This window comes from Homo sapiens, chromosome 11 (genome assembly GCF_000001405.40).
Source record: "Homo sapiens chromosome 11, GRCh38.p14 Primary Assembly".
Taxonomy (NCBI): Eukaryota; Metazoa; Chordata; class Mammalia; order Primates; family Hominidae; genus Homo; species Homo sapiens.
Window position 1 is genome coordinate 69050634 of NC_000011.10, and position 23883 is coordinate 69074516.

Sequence of the window (23883 nt, forward strand, 5' to 3'; positions counted from 1 at the left end):
TCCCAAAGTGGTGGGATTACAGGCGTGAGCCACTGTGCCTGGCCATGCTTCACCTTTCCGAATCTCAGTAAAAGGGAGATAATACTAAGGACTGCCTGGCGGGCATTGTGAGGATTCAGAGAGAATCCAGAGTTTGTCCTCAGCACAGGGCCCGGCGGGCTGGTGTGGGGGCCAGTGGCCGTCCTGGGTAAGCTCTGTGATCATTGCAGGTCCTCCCTGGCAGGTGAGACCCGCTCTGCTGGGCAGTGTGGCTGACAAGAGGAGGCTCTCGGGGAGCGCTCTTTGTCCCTATGCTGTGGCCTCAGCCAGGGCTTCTGAGAACGTGGACAGGACGCTCTGTGTTCTGAATCCCCTTGGCCAGGGTCCCCAGCAAGGACTGGCAGACTATGGAGCCATGGAGACTCCGAAAGGCTCATTCAGTCTCTGTGCTGAGGCCTGTGCCAGGCTTTGAAATGAAGGCCCTGTGCTCTGGTTTGCAAGTCCTGTGGTTGGTCTCTTGCCAACGGGTTGTGGTGAGGGCTGCTGCTGTGGGTGCCCCAAGGACCCCAGTGGACCCTGCTGTTGGGTCGTTTTGACTTGGCCCCACCTGATGGGGCCGGGGTCAAAGGTTGAGAACAGTTGTTTTCTCTTGTTGCTGGGTCAGAAAAATCACACTTTTACTGGTTATCAAACAAGTCAGAGGACAAGGGATTGCGATGCTGTAGAGGCTTTCAGAGTAACTGAATGCTTATGAAGGGCTCACTTAGCAAAGTACTCTGGCTATAGTAAGTCATTCAGTCTGTACTTAGCTCCTATTGGGTGGGGGTCCATGAGGACCTGGAGCACCTAGAGGTTAAGGGACTTGCCCAGGGTCACAGAGGATGATGGTCAGGACCCTACACAGGTTGTGCAGCCTGGAGCCTGGAGCAACAGGGGAGCGGGAGCTCAGACCTGGATGTTGCGGGGCAGAGGCTTGGATTAGGAAGCCGTGTCGAGGCCTGGTGTGCCGGATGCAGCATCTCAGCCCCTGCTGTCCTCTGTGCCTTGCAGAACCCTTCAGCCCCAGTGGGTGATGGTGTGTGGAAAGGTGATTGTCCCCCAGGGTGATGAGCTCAGGGCGGGGCGAGCTGTCCCAAGGGAGTCCCTGGACTCACAAATTGGGGGATGGTGCTCCTGGCAGAAGCAGCAGCCTGAGTAAAGGGTTGGAGGCTTTGGAGAGCATGGCCTTGGCAGAGCCCAGTTCGGAATGAGTGGCACTGAGGGTTGAAAGGCAGGAGAGAGGCGGGCCGGCAAATGTGGGAACCTGCAGTGCCAGACCAGGGTGGAGTGTGGGCCTGGAATAGTGGGGGCCCAGGGGAAGCTGCGATGTGCTTCTGAGTGTTTGGAACGAGATCCTTGGGCTGTTGCAGGGTGAAACGGAGGATGGCCAGACCCAGAATTTTACAAACCAGCAACCAAAAAGCCAGGCGAAAGGGAACCACGAGTGCTGGATGGTTCCAGGGGTGCCCACCACTGTTGGCCTGGGATGGCTGGCCTGGGTGGATGTGAGTACTTTCCGTGGTCCTGGGGCTGGAGTGAGGCCCGGAACTCGGCCGCTTGTCTCTTGTCTAAGAAGCTTGTATCACTAGATCTCTCCTGGTAGAGATTTTGTCTTCTCCCAGGGAATCTGGTAAGGTGGGGCCTCTCAGATCACCGGCCCCCCAGGCTCCCCTCAGGGCTGTTCATTTATTCATGGGATATATCAGCTTTGAGTCCTGTGTGCTTGACTTCTGGGCTCTGCAGATACAGCAGGGAACAAAACAGTGTGGCTTCTGTTCATAGCGATCCCAGGATGTGCTCAGGGGACATAAACAGTAGCCACTTTCAGAGCTTCCCTGGGGAGACATTCGGGTGTCCTCAGGGTGGGTCTCGTGGCTGTGCATGTGGGCACCAAAGCCACAGGGAGGGAAGGCTCTTGCTCCCGGCAGTGCAGCAGGGCCGGGCAGAGTGAGGGTGGGGTCCGGTCTCCTGCCTCTGTCTGGGGCCCCTCACACCTCTAATCCGTCCAGGGCCCAGCTGCCTATACCTCATGCCCCCAAGCAGGAGCCCCGAGGACAGGGGCAGCTGCCTCCCTAAGGATGGCCAGTGGCGTGGGCGGGTCATGGCCTGGAGCTCTGCCTGGGGACCAGCACCTCCTGAGGCCTCTGCTGCTGCCTCCCATGTCACCACATTGTCTTGGTGCAGCTGTGGGCCCCAAGGGGCCAGGTGTGAAAGCCGAGTCTCAACTGAAAAAGCAGCTGCTTCACCCTCTCCCCGTGCTGGGAAGTGTCAGCCTCTCCGGGCTCCTCAGTTGCTTCGGGTTGAGTTTTCCTTCCCTGTTGGCCTGCTGGGGAGCAGCTCTGCAGCGAGGCCAGAGGTGGCCCGTGCCTACGATGCGGGTGGGTGGCCCAGGCTCCCTGCAGTGGCTCAGTGGCTGACCAGGTGCGCCCGCTGGCTGCTCTGTGGCAGGTGAGGGGCTTGTGAGCAGGCCAGGGTGCTGGGTCCTGGCTTCTGTGCCGCCTGACTTTTCCTGAAGGCCCCTCCTAGTCAGGAGCCACTGCCGCTTTTGCCCAGGCCTGCCGGGAGGCTCCACCCTGCTTGTGCTGTTGGTAAAGGCGGGCGGCCACCCTTCACCACAGAAGGCACCGGCAGAGGCTGGGGGACTCGGGCGTTCCTGCAGCTCTGACCCTGGGAGTGATTTGGGTGGGCTTGCCTGGGCCCATGGACCGGGACAGTGAGGGAATGGGACCTTGGTAGCACTCATGAAGCCTCATGGCAGTGCCTTTGGGTTCTAGATGCCAGTTCTCCCTGTCACTGTTGAATCCGAGGTCTGGTTTGATGGGGGTGGGTGGGACACTGGGTACAGTGTCCTGGCTCATGAAGACTGTGCAGGAGCCAGGTAGGGCCGAGCGGAAGAGGGGTGACAGCAGCCCCATGTACCGAGCATGCCTGGGGAGCGTGGCAGGGGGCTCTTGTGCTCCTGCGTTGCACCTCACAGTACCCTCTGGGGAGCCGATTGGGTGGCTGTAAATAGCCCCACTTGACAGAGGAGGAGCCAGCCACAGCCTTCCTGCCAGCACGTGGAGGAGCCGGGCTCTGAACCCCGACGCTGGTGCCAGGGCCCTGCAGGATGTGCCGCTTCCCACAGGCTTGCTAGTTGTGTGCGCTGCATGCGGAGGTGCCGTGCCCTGGGCCTGGCCTGTGCATTTGATGCCGAGGCACTTACCTGGTTTGGTCCCTGCCCTGGGCAGGTACATGCAGCCCCACTGCCGGGTGGAGTCATCTCTTTACAAACGGCCTTGGGAAGAACCACAGCCGGCATCTTTCCTTGATCACGGGTATCCTGGAGGGTGAGGCCATGTCATCCTGCTCGGTCACCTGATGTGTCCCCTCTGCCTGCAGGTGCCGCGGCCAGGTGGGACCTCTGCATTGATCAGGCTGTGGTCTTCATCGAAGATGCTATTCAGGTCGGTGGCACCTGCTCCCTGTGGCCGGGCCTGGGGGGTGGCCGCCCTCCGATTGGCTCGCCCCTCCAGGGGCGACTGACTGGGTCCAAGGCCTCCATTGCTGGACTGTAGGTTAAGAGAACTGAGGGTGGAGCCTCTGGGCACGGCTCTTCGTCAGTCCCCGGAGGACTTGTCTTCTGCATCCTGGACGCATTTGCTGCTTTGATGCACCGTGTTCTGAGGCCTGTTGTGGACCACCCCATTCTAGGTCCCGGGTGGGTGGGGGCATCCTGGAGGATGACACAGCTGCACGGGGCGTGGGAGGGTCAGCCTTGCACAGAGAAGAGAGAGCCTCGCAGGCAGACACGGGCACAGCTGTGCTCTCAGCAAGTGTTCCCTGAGTGTTTGCTCACGCACCCACCCACCCCGGGTGTGTGGCCTGTGAGGTCTTGTGTGTTGGGCAAACCTCGTGGTTTGTGATGGTGTGGGCCTGATGGGTCAGGGCTGGCCATGTCCACACGCTGAAGCGTCCCCTGTGATCCACAGCCTGAGACTTGGGCCTGTCTCGTGTGTGGTGTGGGGCTCGGGTCACGGCCCACCCTGCATGCACCCATGTCATGCCTCATGTGACTTTTCGCTTGTAGTACCGCTCCATCAACCACCGGGTGGATGCCAGCTCGATGTGGCTTTACCGACGGTATTACTCGAACGTATGCCAACGGTGAGAACGCACCCATGTGGAACTCAGGGTTCCTGCCGGCTTGCGTGGCAGGGGAGGCTGGCCCCCACCTGGGGATCACCTGGTCTCAGGGTCCAGGCAGGCTCCCCACTACATAGATAGGGCGGTTACCATCATCCTCTCTGGAAAGGAGACGGCCTGTGATGGCAGGCTCCTTCTACAACAAGGGTTCCTTTCTGGAATGCTGTGGTCAGCCCTCGGCAATGGAGCTTTGAGCAGATTCGTGATCTCCCCAGTCACGAGTGTCCACGCTCAGGCAGCGCCAACTCCCGTGCTTCGGACTGGGGAAGCTCCTGACCAGCCTCTGGGCCCTGAGGGCTGCTGGCTCCTGTGTTTTCATGTTTCTGTCCCCTTTCCAGGACTTTGAGCTTCACCATCTTCTTGATCCTGTTTTTGGCTTTTATCGAGACCCCATCCTCACTCACCAGCACGGCGGACGTGCGCTACCGCGCTGCTCCCTGGGAGCCGCCCTGCGGCCTGACCGAGAGTGTCGAGGTGCTCTGCCTGCTGGTCTTTGCGGCCGACCTCTCTGTGAAGGTGAGGCGGGCGCCAGGCCCTCTACGTGCTGCCCCGGCCTCCCAGCGCCTGGCCGCTGCTCTCCTGGTTTATTGCTGATTCTCTGGAGTGAGCTGCCTTTTCCCCAGACTTTGTACTTTGACCCGGTGAGCAAGGCACACTTTCTTGGACAAGCAAGTGCCTGAGGCAGAGGCTATGTCAGCTCTCCTCCCTCTCCACCATGCAAACTGAGGCCAGTGTGCCGTCAGCTCTCCTCCCTCTCCACCATGCAAACTGAGGCCAGTGTGCCGTCAGCTCTCCTCCCTCTCCACCATGCAAACTGAGGCCAGTGTGCCGTCAGCTCTCCTCCCTCTCCACCATGCAAACTGAGCCCAGTGTGCCGTCAGCTCTCCTCCCTCTCCACCATGCAGACTGAGCCCAGTGGGCCGTCAGGGGTTGCGCAGGCTGACAGGGCCTCTGGGAACAGTCCAGTGTCTGCAGTGCTGCTGTGAGGAGAGGTCCCAAGTGAATAAGTGAGGCCCAGGTGGTCCCTCCTCAAGGCTCACCCTGCCACCCCAAAGAGAAGAGGAGAGGAGGTGGGCGTGGGGCAGAAAGGGGTTTCTTATGCACACAGCAGCTGCTGCATGTTTGACTCTGGGTTCTGCCTGTGACGCACGTCCTCCCACAAGCTGGAGGTGGGCCTTTGGTGCTCACCTAAGCTTCTGAGCCTCGTCAGAGACTTAGTGCCTTTCCAGGGAGGTGCAGGCTACGTTTTCTATTTTTGTCAAACAGTGATTCCAGTGCTGCGGTCTCAGGGGCCCCCACATCCATGCCCATGGTGTTAGATCAGGCCCTGGCTGCAGCCCTCCTCAGCGCCAGCCCTGCCGCTCCTTGGCTGGGCCTTGGGCTCACGTGGCTTCCTGGTCGCGTGGGGCCTCTGCCCGGCACTGCCCTGTAGTCCCTTGTGGGCAGGGCGGGCTGTGTGCCGACCGAGGGTTGTGGCTGGATGCTGGTGTGTGTGATTGCAGGCCCCGGGCAGTTTCTCATTTCTTCCTTTGTAGCTTATCATGTGGTTAGCAGGTCTGGGGGTTTTTCAACTGGAACTGAAACTGGCAAGAGGTTGTCATTAGCGTTTTTTGAATGGTTGGTGTGTTTGAGAAGTGTCAAAAGGTGAGAGAGGGTACATCAGCAAGCTGTGACCTCTGGGGGCTGTCTTTTATTTTATTTTATTTATTTATTTTGAGACACAGTCTCGCTCTGTTGCCCAGGCTGGAGTGCAGTGGTGCAGTCTTGGCTCACTGCAACCTCCGCCTCCTGGGTTTAGGTGATTCTCCTGCCTCAGCCTCCCCAGCAGTTGGAATACAGGCGCGTGCCACCACGCCTGGCTAATTTTTTGTATTTTTAGTAGAGACGGGTTTCACCATGTTAGCCAGTATGGTCTCGATCTCCTGACCTTGTGATCTGCCCGCCTCGGCCTCCCAAAGTGCTGGGATTACAGGTGTGAGCCACTGTGCCCGGCCGTCTTTTATTTATTTATTTATTTTTGAGACAGAGTCTAGCTCTGTCGCCCAGGCTAGGGTGCTGTGGCATGATCTCAGCTCACTGCAACCTTCGCCTCCTGGGTTCAAGTGATTCTCCTGCCTCAGCCTCCCAAGTAGCTGGGATTACAGGTGCCTGCCACCATGCCCGGCTAATTTTTCTATTTTTGGTGGAGACAGGGTTTCACCATGTTGGCAAGGCTGGTCTCAAACTCCCGACCTTGAGTGATCCGCCCACCTCGGCCTCCCAAAGTGCTGGGATTACAGGCGTGAGCCACCGCCTTCTGGGGACTTTCTTGATGGTGGGAAATGGCAGTTAGGTAAGGGAAGAACAGACCAGACCTCACTTCCCAAGCTGCCTTGCTGTGGCGGCGGAGACCTGCCCACTGAGCTGGTATTTTTCTAGCCTTTTCCAGAGTGCATTCCATGTCTTCTCAGCCTGCACAAGGTGGTTGTTAGATAGGCAGAACAGGCAGGAGCCTCCCATTACTGATGAGGACCCCAGGCCAGAGAGCTTTGGTGCTGCCTGAGACTGCACAGCGAGTCCCTAGCAGGCTTGGGCGGGAGCTCGGGCCTCCTGACTGCTGCTCTGCGTCCCGTGGGGACCACACTGTTGTGGAGGCGCACCCTGCTCTGGTCGCCTGGTCCCTGCGCTGCGCACCGTCATTCTCTGGCTGCAGGGCCAGCGTGTGGGGCTACTTGCTGCTCACCCGCCCGTCTATCTTGCAGGGTTACCTGTTCGGGTGGGCCCATTTCCAGAAAAACCTTTGGCTGCTGGGCTACCTCGTGGTGCTGGTGGTGTCTCTGGTGGACTGGACCGTGTCCCTGAGTCTCGTGTGTCATGAGGTAGGTGGTGAGGCAGCCCTGAGACAGATGGAGAGATCTGGGGCTGGTGTGGGTGCAAGGCCCACGGGGGTGCTGGGATGGAGCCCTGAGCCCGCCAGCCATCCTGCCCACCCGCCCAGCACTGCCCACCTCCCATGGCACTTCCTTCACTTGTTGGCTGGGGATCCTTGTTCCTGTCTCACAGATGAAGACATGGAGGCCTGGACGGGCACAGGGTTCCTCCTGGCTCGCCCTGTTTTTGAGGGCGGACCTGGGAGTGAGCTCCAAGACTTCTGCCTCCCGGCTCTCCGCTCTCTAGCTGAAGGCCTCGGCCGTCCAGCCCCGGATGAGAGCGCCACACCAGGGCCTCACCATGCCCCGTAGTCACAAGCCCCAAGCTCTGTGAGGTCTGACAGTGAGAAAGCCCCCTCACCCGGCCACACTCAGCCCTTTCCACCGCAGTGCCTTGGTTTCCCCTCAGAGCACCCAGAAGCACCCCCTGGGCTTTGCGAGAATAGAGCTGGGAGAGGTGGGTGCGGAGTCAGCAGAATCCACTGGGGTCTGTCGGGAAGCAGAGCCCCACAGGTGCCTTGTGGAGAGAATGAACAGAGGGCCTTAAACAGGCTCCGAGAAACCAACAGTGAAAGGAGCCCAGTGGAACCCAGAACCACCGGGAGCAGTCCCACTCATGGGCAGGGGACGGGGGAGAGATGGGGGTTGTTAGCACCTGGAGGCCCAAGGGAGGGGCCCATAGAGCTGGGTTCTTGCCCTCTGTCCTCTGGGAGGGGGTGCTGTCTGGTGGGCGCTGGTGCCTCCCAGAAGCTCAATGAGGTTGGTCCCAGCAGTGCCGATGTGGGGGCTGGAAGCTCCAGGTGCAGCTGATAGGAACAGCCTAGTGAGTGCATCTCCTGTCCCCGCCTGCCCCAGGGCCCTGCTGGCAGGACCTGGTGGGGAGTAGCTGCTGAGGAGAGCTGGAATGGGCGGCATCGCAGCCCACAGCACGGCAGAGCGGAAGGGTGGCTGGAGGGCAGCCCCGCTGTGCTGCTGCGGGGCCTCCGTGGCCACCTCCTTCCTGTCTCCCTGACTCGGCAGCTTCCCGCAGCCTCCTCCCTGCAAAGGGAGAGCCTCTTGCGTGACTGCCCCAGCAAAGGGAGCGAGGATAGCCCTCCCACCGCCATTTCTGAGTTACGGTTGTGGCAGCTGTATCATGTTCTGTAACTTACAGGCTAAATTGTAAGCCACACCAAGAATCCTTATATGAAATTAGGATGGGGAAGGAGACAGGAAAAAGAGACACAGGTCTACGTTACAAGCAAGGAAGAAAATGAATAAAGGCCTGGTTTTATACCTGGCCGTGGGCCCTGCCTGGATCTCTTCTGCCACCTGCTCCGCGCTCCCTTCGCCTCCGCCAGCTCCCCACCTGGCCCGGGTTTTTCACCTGGCACAGGGACTGGACCTTCCTCCCTGAGGGGCCCGAGTCCTTGGTGGTCCTGCCTTTGGAAGGCTGGAGTTTTCTGCTAACTTTTCCTATGGGACATAGGAGTAAGAGGTGGCCCAGAGGACCCCCACCCAGCCCTCCCTGCTGTTCTCAGTGGCAGCAGCCAGCCTGCCCGCTCACCCTGCTGGCACAGCAGCCCTCTTTCCATGAACAAGCTATGGTCCAGCGTGTGTCCCGGTGGAAGCATCCCCACCTTGGGAGTGGATATTTCCAGAGCGGGGACCCAGAATGGGGGAGGTGGGAAGTGGAAAGCTGGCCATCCACCTGTGCCTCTTCACCATGTTCACTCCCATTGCCCTTGCCTGGGTCCCAGTGGGTCCTGGCTGGGGGAGAGACAGCCCCGCCAAGTGGCCTCTGGTTCAGAGCCTGTGCTGTGCCCTGTGACCCTAAGCTGACAGCGTTGCTGAGTCTTCCTAAGGCTCTGGGACCCTTCCTACAGCCAGCTACTGTGGGCCCGCGCCGGGGCTGCCCCAGCTCTTTCACCTGAAGCAGCATTTGCAGGGCTGTGAGTGGGACACAGTGCCCCACAGTTCATTCCCAGGTCCTGGGATGGTGCTGGGAGAGGCGTTGGAGGCAGGGCAGGCAGATTCATAACCTGCATGCCTGTCTGTCCAGGGAGGACAGATGAGCGATGGTTGTGGGCAAGGGCCCCTCTGTTGTCAGGGGGCTGTCTCGGGCTGGTACCTGGCCCTGCCTCTGGCTGAGTGGTTGTGCTATTGGCACCAGGCATAGCCTCCGTGTCTGTCGTGGTGGTTGCTTTGTGTGTGGTGGAGGGAGTTAGGAGCAGGGTGGCTGAGGGAAGAGGCCTAGCTGCATCCACAGGATGCCTGGTCCTGGCCAGAGAGCCTCCTCTCCACGATGCCCATGGTGGGCGTTCACATGGGGCACCAGCTCCTTAGGCCACGTGCCCTGCAGAAAAGCTCGTTCAGAGCAGCTGGTCCACATACTTCCTCCCAGACCTCGTGCCCAGTCTTCCACTCTTCTCTCTCCACGCCCCTGTCCTCCACTTGGGAACATCCCCTTTCTCAGTCCACACAGGGGACTGCCCAACCCTGCCCACTGCAGAGCTTTCCCTTCTGCAGCATCCGTGCAGCGCTTTCTTGATGGAGGCTGAAATGTGCGTGTGTGTGTTTCCGGCTGGGCCGGCTATCATTCAGCACGTCTGCAAACCAGGCCTGAGGTTTTCCTCTGTGGCCAGCTGTCCAGTCATAAAGAACTCCTACAGGCATGGGGTGGCTTGCAGGGAGGACTGGGTGCCCTCCAGCCTTGTGGCCGAGTGGGTTGGATAATATGGAGGCTGCCGGTCACTGTTGGGTTTTGCTCGTTCACTCTTGTCTTTGCCAGGGCTGTTTGGACGTGGTTTTTCCTCAAGGCCTTGGGTCTGAGGGTCCCAGGGGCTTGACTGGCATTGTGGTTGGTTGTCCTTGGAGGCTAGTCACCTGGATGTACCTTCCCGTCCTTATAGAGGCCTCATGGCCCCAGCTGTCAAGGGAAGGCCCTCAGGTTGGGCTCTTGTGTCTGGGGAAGCTGTGCTGTGGTCTGTGTCTGACTACAGGTGAGGGTGCAAGTTCCTGGGCAGGGGAGGGGACCCAGCAGCATCTTCAGCACCTCCTTGGCCTGTAGAGGGGCTGAAAGAAGCCTTTGTTATCAGGCCCTAAGACCAGAGTTTCCAACCAGTGGGCAATGAATGGGTTCCGGGTGAGCTGGGCGCACAGGGCAGGGGCCAGAGCCCTGAGCAGTTCTCTGTTCACCACTGTTCTCTTGGCCTTCTCAGTCCTGCGCCAGGCCCTGGGGTCCCTTTTGAGAATGGTGATTCACTTGGAGTGAGCGCTGGGGATCAGTCACTTGCAGATGTTCTGGAGGGCCTGCCGTGCTGCTGCTGGCTGGACCTTGGTGAACAGAATAGGCAGGTCTCTTGTCCTCTGAGACCCCCTTCTGGAGTGAGAGAGAGACTGCCAGCGCACAGAAGTGCCAGACATAGAGTGTGATTCCCAAGTGTGGTGGTGGGTGCCATGCCGGAGAGGAGCCCGGCAGCCCTGGCAGAGGTGGCGTTCTGCAGGTTGCGGGGGCTGAGCCGGCCGGCTGGGCAGACACTGGCAGCTTGAGGGCCGTGGCCTGTGAGGTCTGGGAAGGGGCTGGACTGACTGGCTGGGCCTGTTCCGTGGACCCCGGAGGCCATGGGCAGAGCTGTGGGCAGTTGTCGGAGGGTTTTGGTTTTGTGCAAGGAGCTGACAGCTCTGCGTTTCTAAAACAAGATACTGATGAGGATGCGAGACTGCAGTGGAGAGCGTGGATTTGAGATTGACAGGCGCCAAAGTGTAAACGAGATACTCAAGGGACTGAATCCAGGTGTGAGGCAGAGAGAGGAGGTGGGGGCAGGGTGCCCAGCACAGGCGGATCGGGCAGTGCGGGGACCTACAGGGCAGCTGGGAGCACCAAGGTAGCTGTGTCTGGTGCTGAGGGCGCCAGGCAGGATGGGAAGGTGCTCATGGGGACCCCCAGGTGGGTCCCAGTGGCCAGGAGGGGAGGATGGGCTGGGATAGGAGCAGGGGAGTGAATGGAGGGGAGGGCAGGGAAACGTGGCATGATGGAAGCTGTGAGAACACTGGTGTGTGATGGTTGGGGCAGAAGGTGGTGATTGAGCCAATCCTGAGAGGGCTGGGGTGGGTTGACAGGACTGTGGGTGGTGTGGTGGCCGTGGGTGGGCCCTTCTGTCCTCACAGAAGGAAGGCAGGGAAGATGGGGATATCTGTGAGAGTGTGTGTGTGTGAGTGTGAGTGTGTGTGTGAGTCTGTTTTGCGTGTCCATAAAGCAAGACCTGAGGCTGGGTATTAATAGAGAAGGGGTTTATTTGGCTCACGGCTCTGTAGGCTGCATGGGAAGCATGGTGCTGGCGTCTGCTTCTGATGAGGCCTCAGGAAGCATCCACTCATGGCAGAAGGAGACGGGGAGCAGGTGTGTCACATGGCGAGAGAGGCCCCCAGACTCCTTTTAAAAACCAGATCTCTCGTGAACCCCTCACCTGAAGTCATTGCTGCAGGGAGGGTACCAGGCTATTCATGAGGGATCCACCCCACGACCCAAACCCCTCCTGCTAGATCCCGCTTCCAACACGGGGAGTCAGATTCAACGTGAGATTTGGAGGGGACGCACATTCACACCGTGTGAGTGTTGAGCGTGGGAGCAGTGAGGCTGGAGGGCGCTGTGTGAGTGTGGGGGTGTGGAGGTGGGGCTCCTGGAGGCAGGGTCTGTGTCTGGGAGGGGAAGGCTTGGAGATGGGGACACAAGGGGAGGCGGGTTGAGGGGTGAGGAGGCGGGGATGGTACCCTGAGAAGCCAGGTGTGCTGGGCAAGGCAGGAGGGTACCAAGGGAGGCATGGGGCCACCACCCTTCCAGCTGTGTCCTGGGTGGGCACAGGGGAGGATGGCCTGGGACAGGGACAGGTGTTAGGATTGGGGAACCTGTGTGTGCAGCGCCCAGGAGTTGGGAGATGGGTAGTGGGGAGGCCTGTGACAGGGAAGGACTGCAGAGCATGTGGCCTGGAACAGGTCTCAAGGCCAGCTCTGGAGCCAGGCCCTCCACTTTGGGCTCAGTGACTCTGGAGTGGCCCCCAGGGCACTGGGGTCTCTGAACCGTGTGCCCATCTGGGATGGTCGGTGAGGGGTAGAACTAAGCACTTGACGTGGTCCTCAGTTTCCTGGGTCTCTTCCAGCCCCTGCGGATCCGCCGGCTTCTCCGTCCCTTCTTCCTGCTGCAGAACTCCTCTATGATGAAGAAGACCTTGAAATGCATCCGCTGGTCGCTGCCGGAAATGGCCAGGTGGGCTCTTGGTGCTCTGGGCTCGCAGGGTTGGGAAGGGGCTCTCTCTGCCCCGGGCCACGTGGTTGCGGGTGGGGCCCACCGGAGTCTCATCTTGGACTGCGTGCTCCGCATCCCTGGCTGGCTGGTGACGGTGTGGGGAGGCTGCTGGGGGGCTTTTGGGGTCTCTTTGGTTCCAGCAGTTCCCCAGAAGCCTCCCAGCAGCCTTCGAGCTAGGGCCAGGGCTGCAAACACCGCGGCCCCAGCTCGAAGGCTGCTGAGTCCCATGGGCACTCTCTCCGATGGGTCTCCTCTTGTCCCCTCTGTGGCTGTGCCCTGCCTCTCCCCTCTGCCGTCCCCTCCCACTCATGGTGTCGGCACGCTGCCAGCCTAGACTTCATAAAGCTGAGCTGTTCCTGACGACACCCCTGCTTGGAAGCCCTCGTGGCTCTTGTTGCCACTAGAAGCGTGGGGCTCTCTCCCTGCGCCCCAGGCCCAGCCTCCATCCAGCCTCGGCTCACCCCTGGTCCCGATCCCCTGCCGCCCTCCGCTCTTGCCAGTGGCAGCGTTGCCCGAGTCCCTAGTGGCTCACGTGCTGACCCCTCACCATCCAGCTCAGGTGGATGGAAGTGGCCTCCCCTCTGAGAGCCCTGGGTCCTTGGATGCTGTCTCAGCTGGGCCCCCAGGGTTTCATTTGTCACTGTCAAAGAAAGGACCCTGCCAGGGCACGACCAGGCCTTTCCTCTGGGCCCCATGAGCTGAGCATGAGGCAAGGCCCTCGGGGAGAGGGGGACCCAGCTGCTGCCTGGATCCACCCCAGCTGCTGCAGACTCTTGGGCGCTCCTGTCACCGAGCCCTGCAGGCAGGTCAGGTGTCCCTGCCTGCCCGCCGCCTGGCCCAGGCTGAGTGCCGTGCTCTCCCCCAGCGTCGGGCTGCTGCTGGCCATCCACCTGTGCCTCTTCACCATGTTCGGAATGCTGCTGTTCGCTGGTGGGAAGGTAGGGCACCCGTGGTCAGGGTCTGGGAATGGGGCTGCCCTGTGCTGTGACTAACAGAGGGGGCTGGGCTGGTGTCTGCTGCCCTGGCCTAACCCATGTGCGGACTCTGTCCAGTAATAGCAGTGGCCCATCTGGGGTCCAGGAGTCTGCCTTTGGGTGGCCACAGTGCTCCACCACCCCACTGCCCAGACACCTGTCTGCCCTGGGGTCTCCTGGGCTCAGGGCCACTTGTCCTTTGTCCTGGCTGTCCGCTCCCACCCTCCTCTGCTCCCTCCCATCCTGACTCAGTTCCCCTATCCTCCTTCCCACTTCCCTCCCCCCTCCCTATCCCCCGCCCCTCCCCGCCCTTCCCCGCCAGGCTATTCACTGAGGGTGGGTCCTCTGGTTTCTCCTCCAGCCCTGTTCATCCTTCCTGACAACCAGGCTTGCCCTGTACCCTCTCTGACTGCAGCCCCCAAGGCTGCGCTGGCCTACTGGGAGGGCCCTCACCTCCCACGCCCTCTCCTGCCACTAGTCTCTCCCACCATATCCTCCTCTGCGGCTGCCCCGGGGCCCAGCAGCTCGTTGCTGTGTGGAGGCGTCTTCCTGTCCCCCAACCCCGCTCCAGTGCTATGTGTTTGTCCTCCTGTCCTGGCCGAGGGCACCATCCTTCTTGGGGCTGGGGCCACGCTGCATCTCTGCTGCTTTGTTGTGGGAGTGGACAGTGCTCAGCCTGCGCTGCTGTTCCTGTTTGTGGCCGTGTTGGGGTTTGGTGTGTGTTGTCCAGAAGGGGAAGGCTGAAGCCCGCGTTCTCACCCAGGGCGGAAGCGGTCATTGAGCCCCTGTGTGGCTCTGCATGTGTGTGTGGAGTCTGCATGTCTGTGTGCATGTTTGTTTGTATGTGTAGGTGTATGGTGTTTATGTCTGTGTGCGTGTTTGTATGTGTGCATGTGTAGTGTCTGTGTGCATGGTGTCTGTATGTCTGTGTGTGTGTTTGTATGTGTGCATGTGTAGTGTCTGTGCATGGTGTCTGTATGTCTGTGTGCGTGTGTGGTGTCTGTGTGCATGGTGTCTGTATGTCTGTGTGTGCGTGTGGTGTCGTGTGTGTGGTGTGTCTATGTGTGCATGCATGGTGTCTGTATGTCTCTGCGTGCGTGGTGTCTGTATGGCTGTGTGCGTGTGCATGTGTGTGCGTATCTCTGTGTGTATGTGTGTGTTTGTGTGCCTGTCTGTGGGTGGTGGGGGCAGCTGGGTTGTGGAGATGGAACCGGCTGACAGAATCTCAGGCCCTCCTCTGTGTGACCGTCCAGTGACCCCTGCAGTAGCGCTGTTTGCCAGAGCCTGTACCAGGTGGATGGCGTCAGTGTGGGTGCTGGAAGTGGCAACAGCCTCGGCCTTGAGGCCAGGGTGTGGTCCTCGACCCCGGGAAAGCCGAGTGTCCCATCCTGAGGCACCTGGAAGGGTTGGCTCCTCCTCCAGGCGTGGGTTTCTGCCCCACGAAGGGGACCTAGGGGAGCAAGGTGTACCTTGTGTGAGGGGTGCGTGCTTGTCGTGGTCTTGGCAGGAGTCTGGATCCCTGTCCGAGGCAGGACTTGAGAGGAGCGTGGGATGGTACCCGGCCCATCCTGCCTTCCTTCCCTGGCCATCATGCCCTGCCACCCTGGCCTGGGGCGGTAGCCAGGCTGTGCTTCTGGGTGCAGCGGCCGCCTTGCTTTAGCTACCTTTGTGAGTGCGGTCCAGAGCCAGCCTGCTTGTCCTCTGCTGGCTTTGCTCGTTGTGAAGCTCCAACCTGGATTGATTTCCAAGAACCAGGGTTGGTGTTGGGGTGTGTGGTCTCCCAGCAGCCGTGATGGTGCTGTCCCATTTTACAGATGTTTCTCAGGTCGGGGCTGTGGGCTGGCTCGGGTCCATCGTCGCTGGTTGTGGCAGGTTGGGCAGGAGCCCAGGGCTCCTCTGTGTCCCTGCAGAGCTGTGGCTTGGGCTGGGCAGGAGGTACGGGAAGTCATGCCTAGGGTCTGGAGCTGAATTGTAGAGGAGGAGCGTGAGGCCTGCTGGGAGGTACACAGTGTGGGGTGGGAGATGGGCCGGGGCAGGGCCACCTGCCTTAGGGAGTTCTGTCGGCTCTATGGACCTCAGCGTCTGTTAGGTGGTGTGCCTCAGCTGGCTCGAAGCCTGGCCCTAAACCTTGCTCCATGGGCGCTCGGTGGGTTGCTTTACATTTGGGAACGTGGTGGTTTGACTGGGTGAGGGTGGGACGGGGGATGCCCGGGAGGCCTGGACCCAGTGCTGTGGTCCTGCCGTCCCCGGTGACTGCTGGAGGCCAGCCTGCCCTCCAGGCCTCGGAAGGCCTTGCTCTGCTCCTCCACTCTGGCTTGGGCTGAGGCCCAGGAGGGGCCCGCCTAGCTCTCCCCAGCAGGGGAGCCTGTCCCTACCCGTGGCTCTGTGCCTGACAGCGCTCCCTGCCTTCTAACTTCCTCTCAGTGGCCCCTGTGCCCCCTCCCCCAGCAGACTGTGGAGTCTTCACCAATTAGCTCACGTGTCCTTGGGAGCCCCTGACTGGACAGACGAGGGGACAGTGCCATTTTATAGGTGAGGCCTTGGAGGCCTCAGTGCTATTGATGCGGCTGTGAGGCAGGAAGGGCGGCCTGTGCGACAGAGAGTGGCCATCACAGGTGCCTCCATGCCAGGGCCTGCCTGCGGGGTTGCCCCTTGGCCAGCAGCTGGGATTGTGGCTTTGAAACGATCCCTAAGAGAGGAGGTTGCTTTGTGTGCCAAGTCCCGCTGTGCCACCTGCCCCCACAGTTCATACAACCAGTCTGGTTTGCGGGAACCACCCATCTTCCAGCTGGGGGGTCTGGAGGCTTGGTAGGCAGAGGGTGCCCATGAGCCTGGCCCCAGTGAGAGCCCCGGGCCCGGAGTCTCAAGCAGAGTTGCTTTCCGAGCAGAAACACTGCATGTGCCAGCTGTGTTTTGTGGCTGGGACCCCTCTCAGGAGGGAGAGAGGATAGGGACTCCGGTGTGGATGCCCCCTTACCAATGGCTGTGATTCGCCACAGCCACGAGCACAGTGCCACTGAGTCCCGTGGGTGGCTATGGGCGGCCGTGGGCCCTGACACACAGCCTCTAGAGCAGGCTTCACGAAGGGTCCAACCTATCTCACCCTGGCAGCCTGGGCCCCTCTGCTCCTCCTGCCCCTCCTGCCTCTGCCCCGTAGCCTCACTGCTTGCACAGTGCATGGCAGAGTCGGCTGCGAGCAGGCGAGGTGGCCTGAGGGAGGTCACTAGGCTGGCTGAGGGCTTTTTGCTGTGGTTCTGAGCCGGCCTGCTTCCAGGCACCGTGTCCATGCGGGTGAGCGGTCTCCCTGGGTGCCCACTCTTGCGCCCGGAGATCCTGAGTTTGGTCCTGTCTGGCCATGAGCTCAGCCTGCTGGGAGGCCACAGGGAGATGCAGGCTGGGCGGCGGGTGGATGGTTCCAGCCGGTTGGGTCCGGGGCCTGGAGCTCAGCCTGTGGGGTGGGGACCCAGTGGTGCCCTGGAGCTGCCGCTTCTGCTCTTAGCAGGATGATGGGCAGGACAGGGAGAGGCTGACCTACTTCCAGAACCTGCCTGAGTCTCTGACTTCCCTCCTGGTGCTGCTGACCACGGCCAACAACCCCGATGGTGCGTGCAGGGCCAGGGAGGGACCGTGGGGGTCGGTGAGCCCAGCACTGGGGGGCCGGTTTGGGCTGCTGAGCCTTAGAACCCAGTGGGAGTTTCTGAGGCCTTTTTTTCGATAAGTGGAGAAGAAAGGGTGACATTTTCCTTCCTCCCCTTCTTTTCCTATCTCTTCTTTTTTTGTCTTGGTTTTCTTCTCCCTCTCTCTTGTCCCTTCTCTTTCCTTCTTTCCTTTTCTGTCTCATTCCTTTGCTTTCTCACTCCCTCCTCCCTTTTTCTTTTCATCTCCTCTTCCTCCTTGTCTACTCACTCCTCTGAGAAGCTGAAAGTGGCTGGTGTTCTTCATAGGGCGATGATGGCAGTGGTCAGAGGGGTCTCCTGGTGCCGTCCTGCTGGAGCTCCACACATCCACGCTGCGGTTGCTGCCGAGGTTCAGCTGTGGGAGCCACTGGGCAGCAGCATGTGAGGGCCAAGGGTCTTACTGGCCACGACGCTCACCCTGTGTGATGCTCATGGGGCCTCCACTGCTCAGGTGCAGGTGTGGCCAGGATGGAGGCCACGGTCCTGGGCTTGGCTGTGGCCCAGCCACCCTGGCTGGTGCCTTTCATCTTGCGGACCCTGAGTGCTGTCTCTTGTGTCCTCTGAGTCCTAGGAAGTGACCGCAGTGGGAGCAGGACCGTCTGAGTCCTAGGAAGTGACCGCACTGGGAGCAGGGCCGTCTGAGTCCTAGGAAGTGACCGCACTGGGAGCAGGACCGTCTGAGTCCTAGGAAGTGACCGCAGTGGGAGCAGGACCGTCTGAGTCCTAGGAAGTGACCGCACTGGGAGCAGGACCGTCTGAGTCCTAGGAAGTGACCGCAGTGGGAGCAGGACCGTCTGAGTCCTAGGAAGTGACCGCAGTGGGAGCAGGACCGTCTGAGTCCTAGGAAGTGACCGCACTGGGAGCAGGACCGTCTGAGTCCTAGGAAGTGACCGCAGTGGGAGCAGGACCGTCTGAGTCCTAGGAAGTGACCGCAGTGGGAGCAGGACCGTCTGAGTCCTAGGAAGTGACCGCAGTGGGAACAGGACCGTCTGAGTCCTAGGAAGTGACCGCAGTGGGAGCAGGACCGTCTGAGTCCTAGGAAGTGACCGCAGTGGGAGCAGGACCGTCTGAGTCCTAGGAAGTGACCACAGGGGGAGCAGGACCGTCTGAGTCCTAGGAAGTGACCGCAGTGGGAGCAGGACCGTCTGAGTCCTAGGAAGTGACCGCACTGGGAGCAGGACCGTCTGAGTCCTAGGAAGTGACCGCACTGGGAGCAGGACCGTCTGAGTCCTAGGAAGTGACCGCACTGGGAGCAGGACCGTCTGAGTCCTAGGAAGTTACCGCACTGGGAGCAGGACTGTCTGAGTCCTAGGAAGTGACCGCAGTGGGAGCAGGACTGTCTGAGTCCTAGGAAGTGACCGCAGTGGGAGCAGGACTGTCTGAGTCCTAGGAAGTGACCACAGGGGGAGCAGGACTATCTGAGTCCTAGGAAGTGACCGCAGTGGGAGCAGGACTGTCTGAGTCCTAGGAAGTGACCGCAGTGGGAGCAGGACTGTCTGAGTCCTAGCAAGTGACACAGGGGGAGCAGGACCGTCTGAGTCCTAGGAAGTGACCGCAGTGGGAGCAGGACCGTCTGAGTCCTAGGAAGTGACCGCACTGGGAGCAGGACCGTCTGAGTCCTAGGAAGTGACCGCAGTGGGAGCAGGACCATCTGAGTCCTAGGAAGTTACCGCAGTGGGAGCAGGGCCGTCTGAGTCCTAGGAAGTGACCGCAGTGGGAGCAGGACCGTCTGAGTCCTAGGAAGTGACCGCAGTGGGAGCAGGACCGTCTGAGTCCTAGGAAGTGACCGCACTGGGAGCAGGACCGTCTGAGTCCTAGGAAGTTACCGCAGTGGGAGCAGGACCGTCTGAGTCCTAGGAAGTGACCGCACTGGGAGCAGGACCGTCTGAGTCCTAGGAAGTGACCGCACTGGGAGCAGGACCGTCTGAGTCCTAGGAAGTGACCGCAGTGGGAGCAGGACCGTCTGAGTCCTAGGAAGTGACCGCAGTGGGAGCAGGACCGTCTGAGTCCTAGGAAGTGACCGCACTGGGAGCAGGACCGTCTGAGTCCTAGGAAGTGACCGCACTGGGAGCAGGACCGTCTGAGTCCTAGGAAGTGACCGCACTGGGAGCAGGACCGTCTGAGTCCTAGGAAGTGACTGCAGGGGGAGCAGGACTGACTGTGGGGAGGGCTGCAGGGAGGTTTCAGCTCTGTGTGCAGAGGGACATCCTTGATAGGTAGGGAGTTCCCCGTCCTGGAGGGTGTGCGAGCAGAGGCAAGAGATCGAATTTGGACAGGAAGGCCTTTCAGCCCTCCCAGGAGACCTCCTTTCTTTTTTTTCCTTTTCTTTCTTTTTTTCTTTCTTTCTTTTTTTTTTTTGTTTGAGATGGTGCCATGCTCTGTCACCCAGACTGGAGTGCAGTGGTGCAGTCTCGGTTCACTGCAACCTCCACCTCCCAGGTTCAAGTGATTCTCCTGCCTCAGCCTCCCGAGTAGCTGGGTTTACAGGCATGAGCCACCACACCTGGCTAATTTTTGTATTTTTAGTAGAGATGGAGTTTTACTATGTTGGCCAGGCTGGTCTCGGAATTCCTGACCTCAAGTGATCCACCCGCCTCAGCCTCCCAAAGTGCTGGGATTACAGGCGTGAGCCACCACGCTCAGCAATGGAGACCTCCTTTCTATTGCAAAAGCAAATAGTGTAGCGTCAGGATGGGAGTGGGATCAGGTACTGAGGTTGTCAGTTTCTGTTATTTCTTTTTTCTTTTAGTGATGATTCCTGCGTATTCCAAGAACCGGGCCTATGCCATCTTCTTCATAGTCTTCACTGTGATAGGTGAGTGCAGGTAACGTGGCCAGCATTTTGTGACAGGATCCCGAGAGCTCAGGGACCGATACACCCTGCTGCCTCCACGACCTGAAACTTCACATCCGTGTTTTTCACTCCAGAGATCACCCCAGGGATCCCCTGCCAACAGCTTTTAACCCCAGAGATCCCCCACCAACAGCTTCACCCGAGGGATCCCCCACCCCACGGCTTCACCCCAGGGATCTCCCGCCAACAGGTTCACCCCAGGGATCCCCCACCAACAGCTTCACCCCAGAGATCCCCCACCAACAGCTTCACCCGAGGGATCCCCCACCAACAGCTTCACCCCAGGGATCTCCCACCAGCAGCTTCACCCCAGGGATCCCTCACCAACAGCTTCACCCCAGGGATCCCCCACCAACAGCTTCACCCCAGGGATCCCTCACCAACAGCTTCACCCCAGGGATCCCCCACCCCACGGCTTCACCCCAGGGATCCCCCGCCAACAGGTTCACCCCAGGGATCCCCCACCAACAGCTTCACCCCGGGGATCCCCCACCAACAGCTTCACCCCAGGGATCCCCCACCAACAGCTTCACCCCAGGGATCCCCCATGCCACGGCTTCACCCCAGGGATCCCCCACCAACAGCTTCACCCCAGGGATCCCCCACCAACAGCTTCACCCCAGGGATCCCCCACCCCACACTTTCTGTTCTGTCCCCACCATTGACCTCGTCATCCTCCCACCTGTGACTGCGCTGGCCAGGCCATGTTTCCATTTGATAGGGGACGCCCCCGGCGCTGTGCTATCCTGTGCCGGCCACCCTTGCGTTGGTTTTGCTGCTGTACTGGTGGCGCCCCTGACCGTGGCTGTCTCCTCTTGAAGGAAGCCTGTTTCTGATGAACCTGCTGACAGCCATCATCTACAGTCAGTTCCGGGGCTACCTGATGGTGAGCGAGCTCCCCAATGCTGGCTGTGCCTGGAGCTGCCGGGAGGCCAAGCAGGGTGTGGCTTGAGATGAGCAGCTGGGTGACCCTTGCTGGCCAGGCCCCTGGTGGGACGGGAGGGCAGGGTTGCCACCTCTTGTGGATCAGCCGGGGATGCACATGTGTTGTTGCTCTAGCCACTGCCAGAGATGGCAACTCCCAGGACAGCAGACCCTAAACCCTCTTGAGGGGGAGCTGGGGGCGCCCCCAACACACAGAGGAGAAACGCGGCCCAGCATATTGCGCAGCACGCCCGTCAGACTCCTTCCTGTGCGGCCTGTCCCGGGAGTCTGACCAATCCTCTCATTCCTGGGGGGTGAGGGGCTGCCCCCAGGCTGTGGGGAACTGGGCCCCCCCCCAAGGCTGCCCAGACTCCCCCTCTGCCTGTTCCCCAGGGGAGGGAAGGGTCGGGGGTTCTGAGCTGGGGGAGGGCTGATCCTGCCGTTCATAGCCTTCCTCTTTGCAGAAATCTCTCCAGACCTCGCTGTTTCGGAGGCGGCTGGGAACCCGGGCTGCCTTTGAAGTCCTATCCTCCATGGTGGGGGAGGGAGGAGCCTTCCCTCAGGCGTGAGTGCTGGGCATGGACCCTCTTCTCCCTGAGGGTGGGTGCTGTGGCTGCTGGGCAGGGGCCGGGTGTTCATTAGGGGCTTCTTGTGCTTGGCCTGTGCCTCGCCCCTGCTGGCTGGCACCCGACTCATGGAAACCACCATGTCCCTGGCGCTCTGTGGTTCCCGGCGTCCTTGTCCTGAGTCCATGCCTTTGTCTTCGTGCCCCCCGGGGACCCTGGGCTGGTGAAGGGCCGAGTGGCCCGGCCTTCTTGTCCCCCTTTGTGCTCTTCTACCCTTCTGTGCTGACTTAGGCAGCAGAGCCAGAGGTGCGTGGGCCAGGTGTCCACACCACCATCCTGCTTGGAAATGAGGGCAGAGAGCTTGAGGGACATTGCAGTGGAAAGTTCTGGTCCTGACTGCTCATAGTGGTGAAGTCAGTTTGCGCCTTCTCGGGGGGACGGCAGTGGCAGGATGCTCGTTACAGGGGCTCTTGGTGTGGCTCAAGCTGCAAAGTGGCTTCATGGCAAAGCTCAAGCCAGACGCCAGGGCAGGAGGACCCAGGCCAGGGTTCCAAGGGAGCCGAGCTGGCTGTGCTCACCGGGCTGTGGGTTTTTCCCTGCAGAGTTGGGGTGAAGCCCCAGAACTTGCTGCAGGTGCTTCAGAAGGTCCAGCTGGACAGCTCCCACAAACAGGCCATGATGGAGGTACCCGCCCCCTGCTCCCAGCCTCCTCTGGGCTCCTCCCGGGAGGTCACTTGGGCCAGCAGCCCCTTTTCAGGACTAGGGGTGTGGCTTCAGGTCACCTGCAGCATTCACAGCCCGTCAGGGTGGGGTTGGGGCTGGGGGCGCTCACCTTCGAGGGCGCTCACCTTCCCGTGCGCCCCTGCTGACCTGTGCTCCTTCCTGTGCAGAAGGTGCGTTCCTATGGCAGTGTTCTGCTCTCAGCTGAGGAGTTTCAGAAGCTCTTCAACGAGCTTGACAGAAGTGTGGTTAAAGAGGTAACTGGGGCCACAGCCGCCCAGGGTGGATAGTGGGGGCCTTCCAGTTTCCCCTGCCCTTGATCACCTGGGGAACTCTTCTAATGATCAGTGCTGGGATTCACCTGCCAGGGATCCTGGCTCCTAGTATGGGAACTGGGAATGGAGTTCTCTTTGGCTCTTGGAGACTGGGGAGATTTTTATGAAATTCACCAGACCCCAGGAACTAGCCTGAGCCCAGCCCGACATGAAGGAGTCTTCCAAATGGTCTTCTCGGTTTCCATGACAGACTCTCCTTTTCCTGTCTGTCCTTCCTCAGGAGGTCCACACACTGGTCCTCTCCAAGGCCTTTGCCTTTCACCCTTGACACTTACAAAGTTCCCAGGTGGGCCTCAGCATCCGACTAAGCTCTGTGTCCAGAAGGCCTGGGCCAGGTGGGTGGAGACAGTGGGAAACAGCCCAGGTGCTCACAGGCAGTGTGGGGGCAGCACGGGGGCTGCCATTCCAGCTGCTCAGCCTCAGAGGACTGAGCCAGACCCTGGAACAGGGATGGGGCAGAGAGGTGGGGTGGCAGACGCCTGCCAGTTCTGTGTCACTTTTCTCGTTTGCTCAGGCTCCTGGGACGGCACCACAGACTGGGGCGGGGGCAGGGCTGAAGCAGCAGACATTTGTTATCTCACAGTCCTGGCCGTCAGTCCAAGGCCAAGTGTCACAGGGCTGGTTCCTCCTGAGGCCCCTCTCAGTGGCTTGTAGGTGCTGTTCTTTCCCCATGTCCTCACCTGAGGCCTCTCTCCGTGGCCTGTAGATGCCAGCCTCTCCCTGTGTCCTCACCTGAGGCCTCTCTCCGTGGCTTGTAGATGCCAGCCTCTCCCTGTGTCCTCACCTGAGGCCTCTCTCCATGGCTGTAGACATCGCCTTCTCCCTGTATCCTCACGTGGTCATCCCTCTGTGTGTCATCTCCTCCTCTTATAAGGACCCTATTCAGATTGGATTAGGGCCCATTCTAATGGCCTTGTTTTAACTAAATTACCTTTTAAAAGGCCCTGTCTCCAAATATAGTCACATTCTGAGCTACTGGGGGTTAGAGGTTAAAGATACGAATTTCGAGGGAGACAAAATTCAACCCATAGCAACTGTCAGCTGCTTCAGGATTCCTTGTCGGCCCCTGTGGCTGCAGGACCCTGTCAGAGGTGGTTCTCTAAAAAACATTGTTTTCCTAAGGTCCTTCCAGACCTCTGTAGTCAGGCCCTGCCCCAGCCTGAGCTTGAGTGCCACGCACTCGTCCCCATCCTCACTTCGGGCATCCTCTTTAGGGCTGCATTCCTCATTGTGGCACCCCCAGCCCCTTGGGGCATATGGGCGATGAGTGTGGTGAGGATCAGTAGGTGGCAGTTTGAATATTCACGCCATCAAACCTCTGTTTGGGACAAGGCTGGGCAATGCGTTATCAACTTAAGGTTGACTTGAAGATACGAAATAAATTTTACCAGGTGCAGATTTCACAGAAACTGTGGAGATGGTCCTCAGATAACAGAA

The 23883-nt window shown here is 60.0% G+C and overlaps 1 protein-coding gene across 1 annotated transcript in view, besides 6 other annotated features; it reads left to right on the plus strand.

Moving 5' to 3' along the window:
* TPCN2 (two pore segment channel 2) overlaps positions 1-23883 on the plus strand; it is a 41666-nt gene that overhangs the window by 1702 nt on the left and 16081 nt on the right. Inside the window, exons 2-13 of the mRNA NM_139075.4 lie at positions 3400-3464; positions 4088-4164; positions 4542-4719; positions 6945-7061; positions 12251-12357; positions 13262-13334; positions 16870-16972; positions 19797-19862; positions 20723-20787; positions 21290-21390; positions 21994-22075; positions 22282-22368. Coding sequence (NP_620714.2) covers positions 3400-3464; positions 4088-4164; positions 4542-4719; positions 6945-7061; positions 12251-12357; positions 13262-13334; positions 16870-16972; positions 19797-19862; positions 20723-20787; positions 21290-21390; positions 21994-22075; positions 22282-22368 — 1121 coding nt within the window. The remainder of the gene's footprint in view (positions 1-3399; positions 3465-4087; positions 4165-4541; positions 4720-6944; positions 7062-12250; positions 12358-13261; positions 13335-16869; positions 16973-19796; positions 19863-20722; positions 20788-21289; positions 21391-21993; positions 22076-22281; positions 22369-23883) is intronic.
* Positions 703-1277: an enhancer, noted in NCBI's record as "H3K4me1 hESC enhancer chr11:68818804-68819378 (GRCh37/hg19 assembly coordinates)". NCBI's record gives its function as "activates a minimal SCP1, AML or CMV promoter by ChIP-STARR-seq in naive and primed H9 embryonic stem cells {active_cell/tissue: H9 hESC(naive and primed)}" and the evidence as "EXISTENCE:reporter gene assay evidence [ECO:0000049][PMID:30033119]".
* Positions 2428-3001: an enhancer, noted in NCBI's record as "H3K27ac-H3K4me1 hESC enhancer chr11:68820529-68821102 (GRCh37/hg19 assembly coordinates)". NCBI's record gives its function as "activates a minimal SCP1, AML or CMV promoter by ChIP-STARR-seq in primed H9 embryonic stem cells {active_cell/tissue: H9 hESC(primed)}" and the evidence as "EXISTENCE:reporter gene assay evidence [ECO:0000049][PMID:30033119]".
* Positions 3676-3805: an enhancer, noted in NCBI's record as "active region_5150". NCBI's record gives its function as "activates an Ori minimal core promoter by ATAC-STARR-seq in GM12878 lymphoblastoid cells {active_cell/tissue: GM12878}" and the evidence as "EXISTENCE:reporter gene assay evidence [ECO:0000049][PMID:35858748]".
* Positions 5223-5282: an enhancer, noted in NCBI's record as "active region_5151". NCBI's record gives its function as "activates an Ori minimal core promoter by ATAC-STARR-seq in GM12878 lymphoblastoid cells {active_cell/tissue: GM12878}" and the evidence as "EXISTENCE:reporter gene assay evidence [ECO:0000049][PMID:35858748]".
* Positions 5433-5692: an enhancer, noted in NCBI's record as "active region_5152". NCBI's record gives its function as "activates an Ori minimal core promoter by ATAC-STARR-seq in GM12878 lymphoblastoid cells {active_cell/tissue: GM12878}" and the evidence as "EXISTENCE:reporter gene assay evidence [ECO:0000049][PMID:35858748]".
* Positions 15312-16064: an enhancer, noted in NCBI's record as "H3K4me1 hESC enhancer chr11:68833413-68834165 (GRCh37/hg19 assembly coordinates)". NCBI's record gives its function as "activates a minimal SCP1, AML or CMV promoter by ChIP-STARR-seq in primed H9 embryonic stem cells {active_cell/tissue: H9 hESC(primed)}" and the evidence as "EXISTENCE:reporter gene assay evidence [ECO:0000049][PMID:30033119]".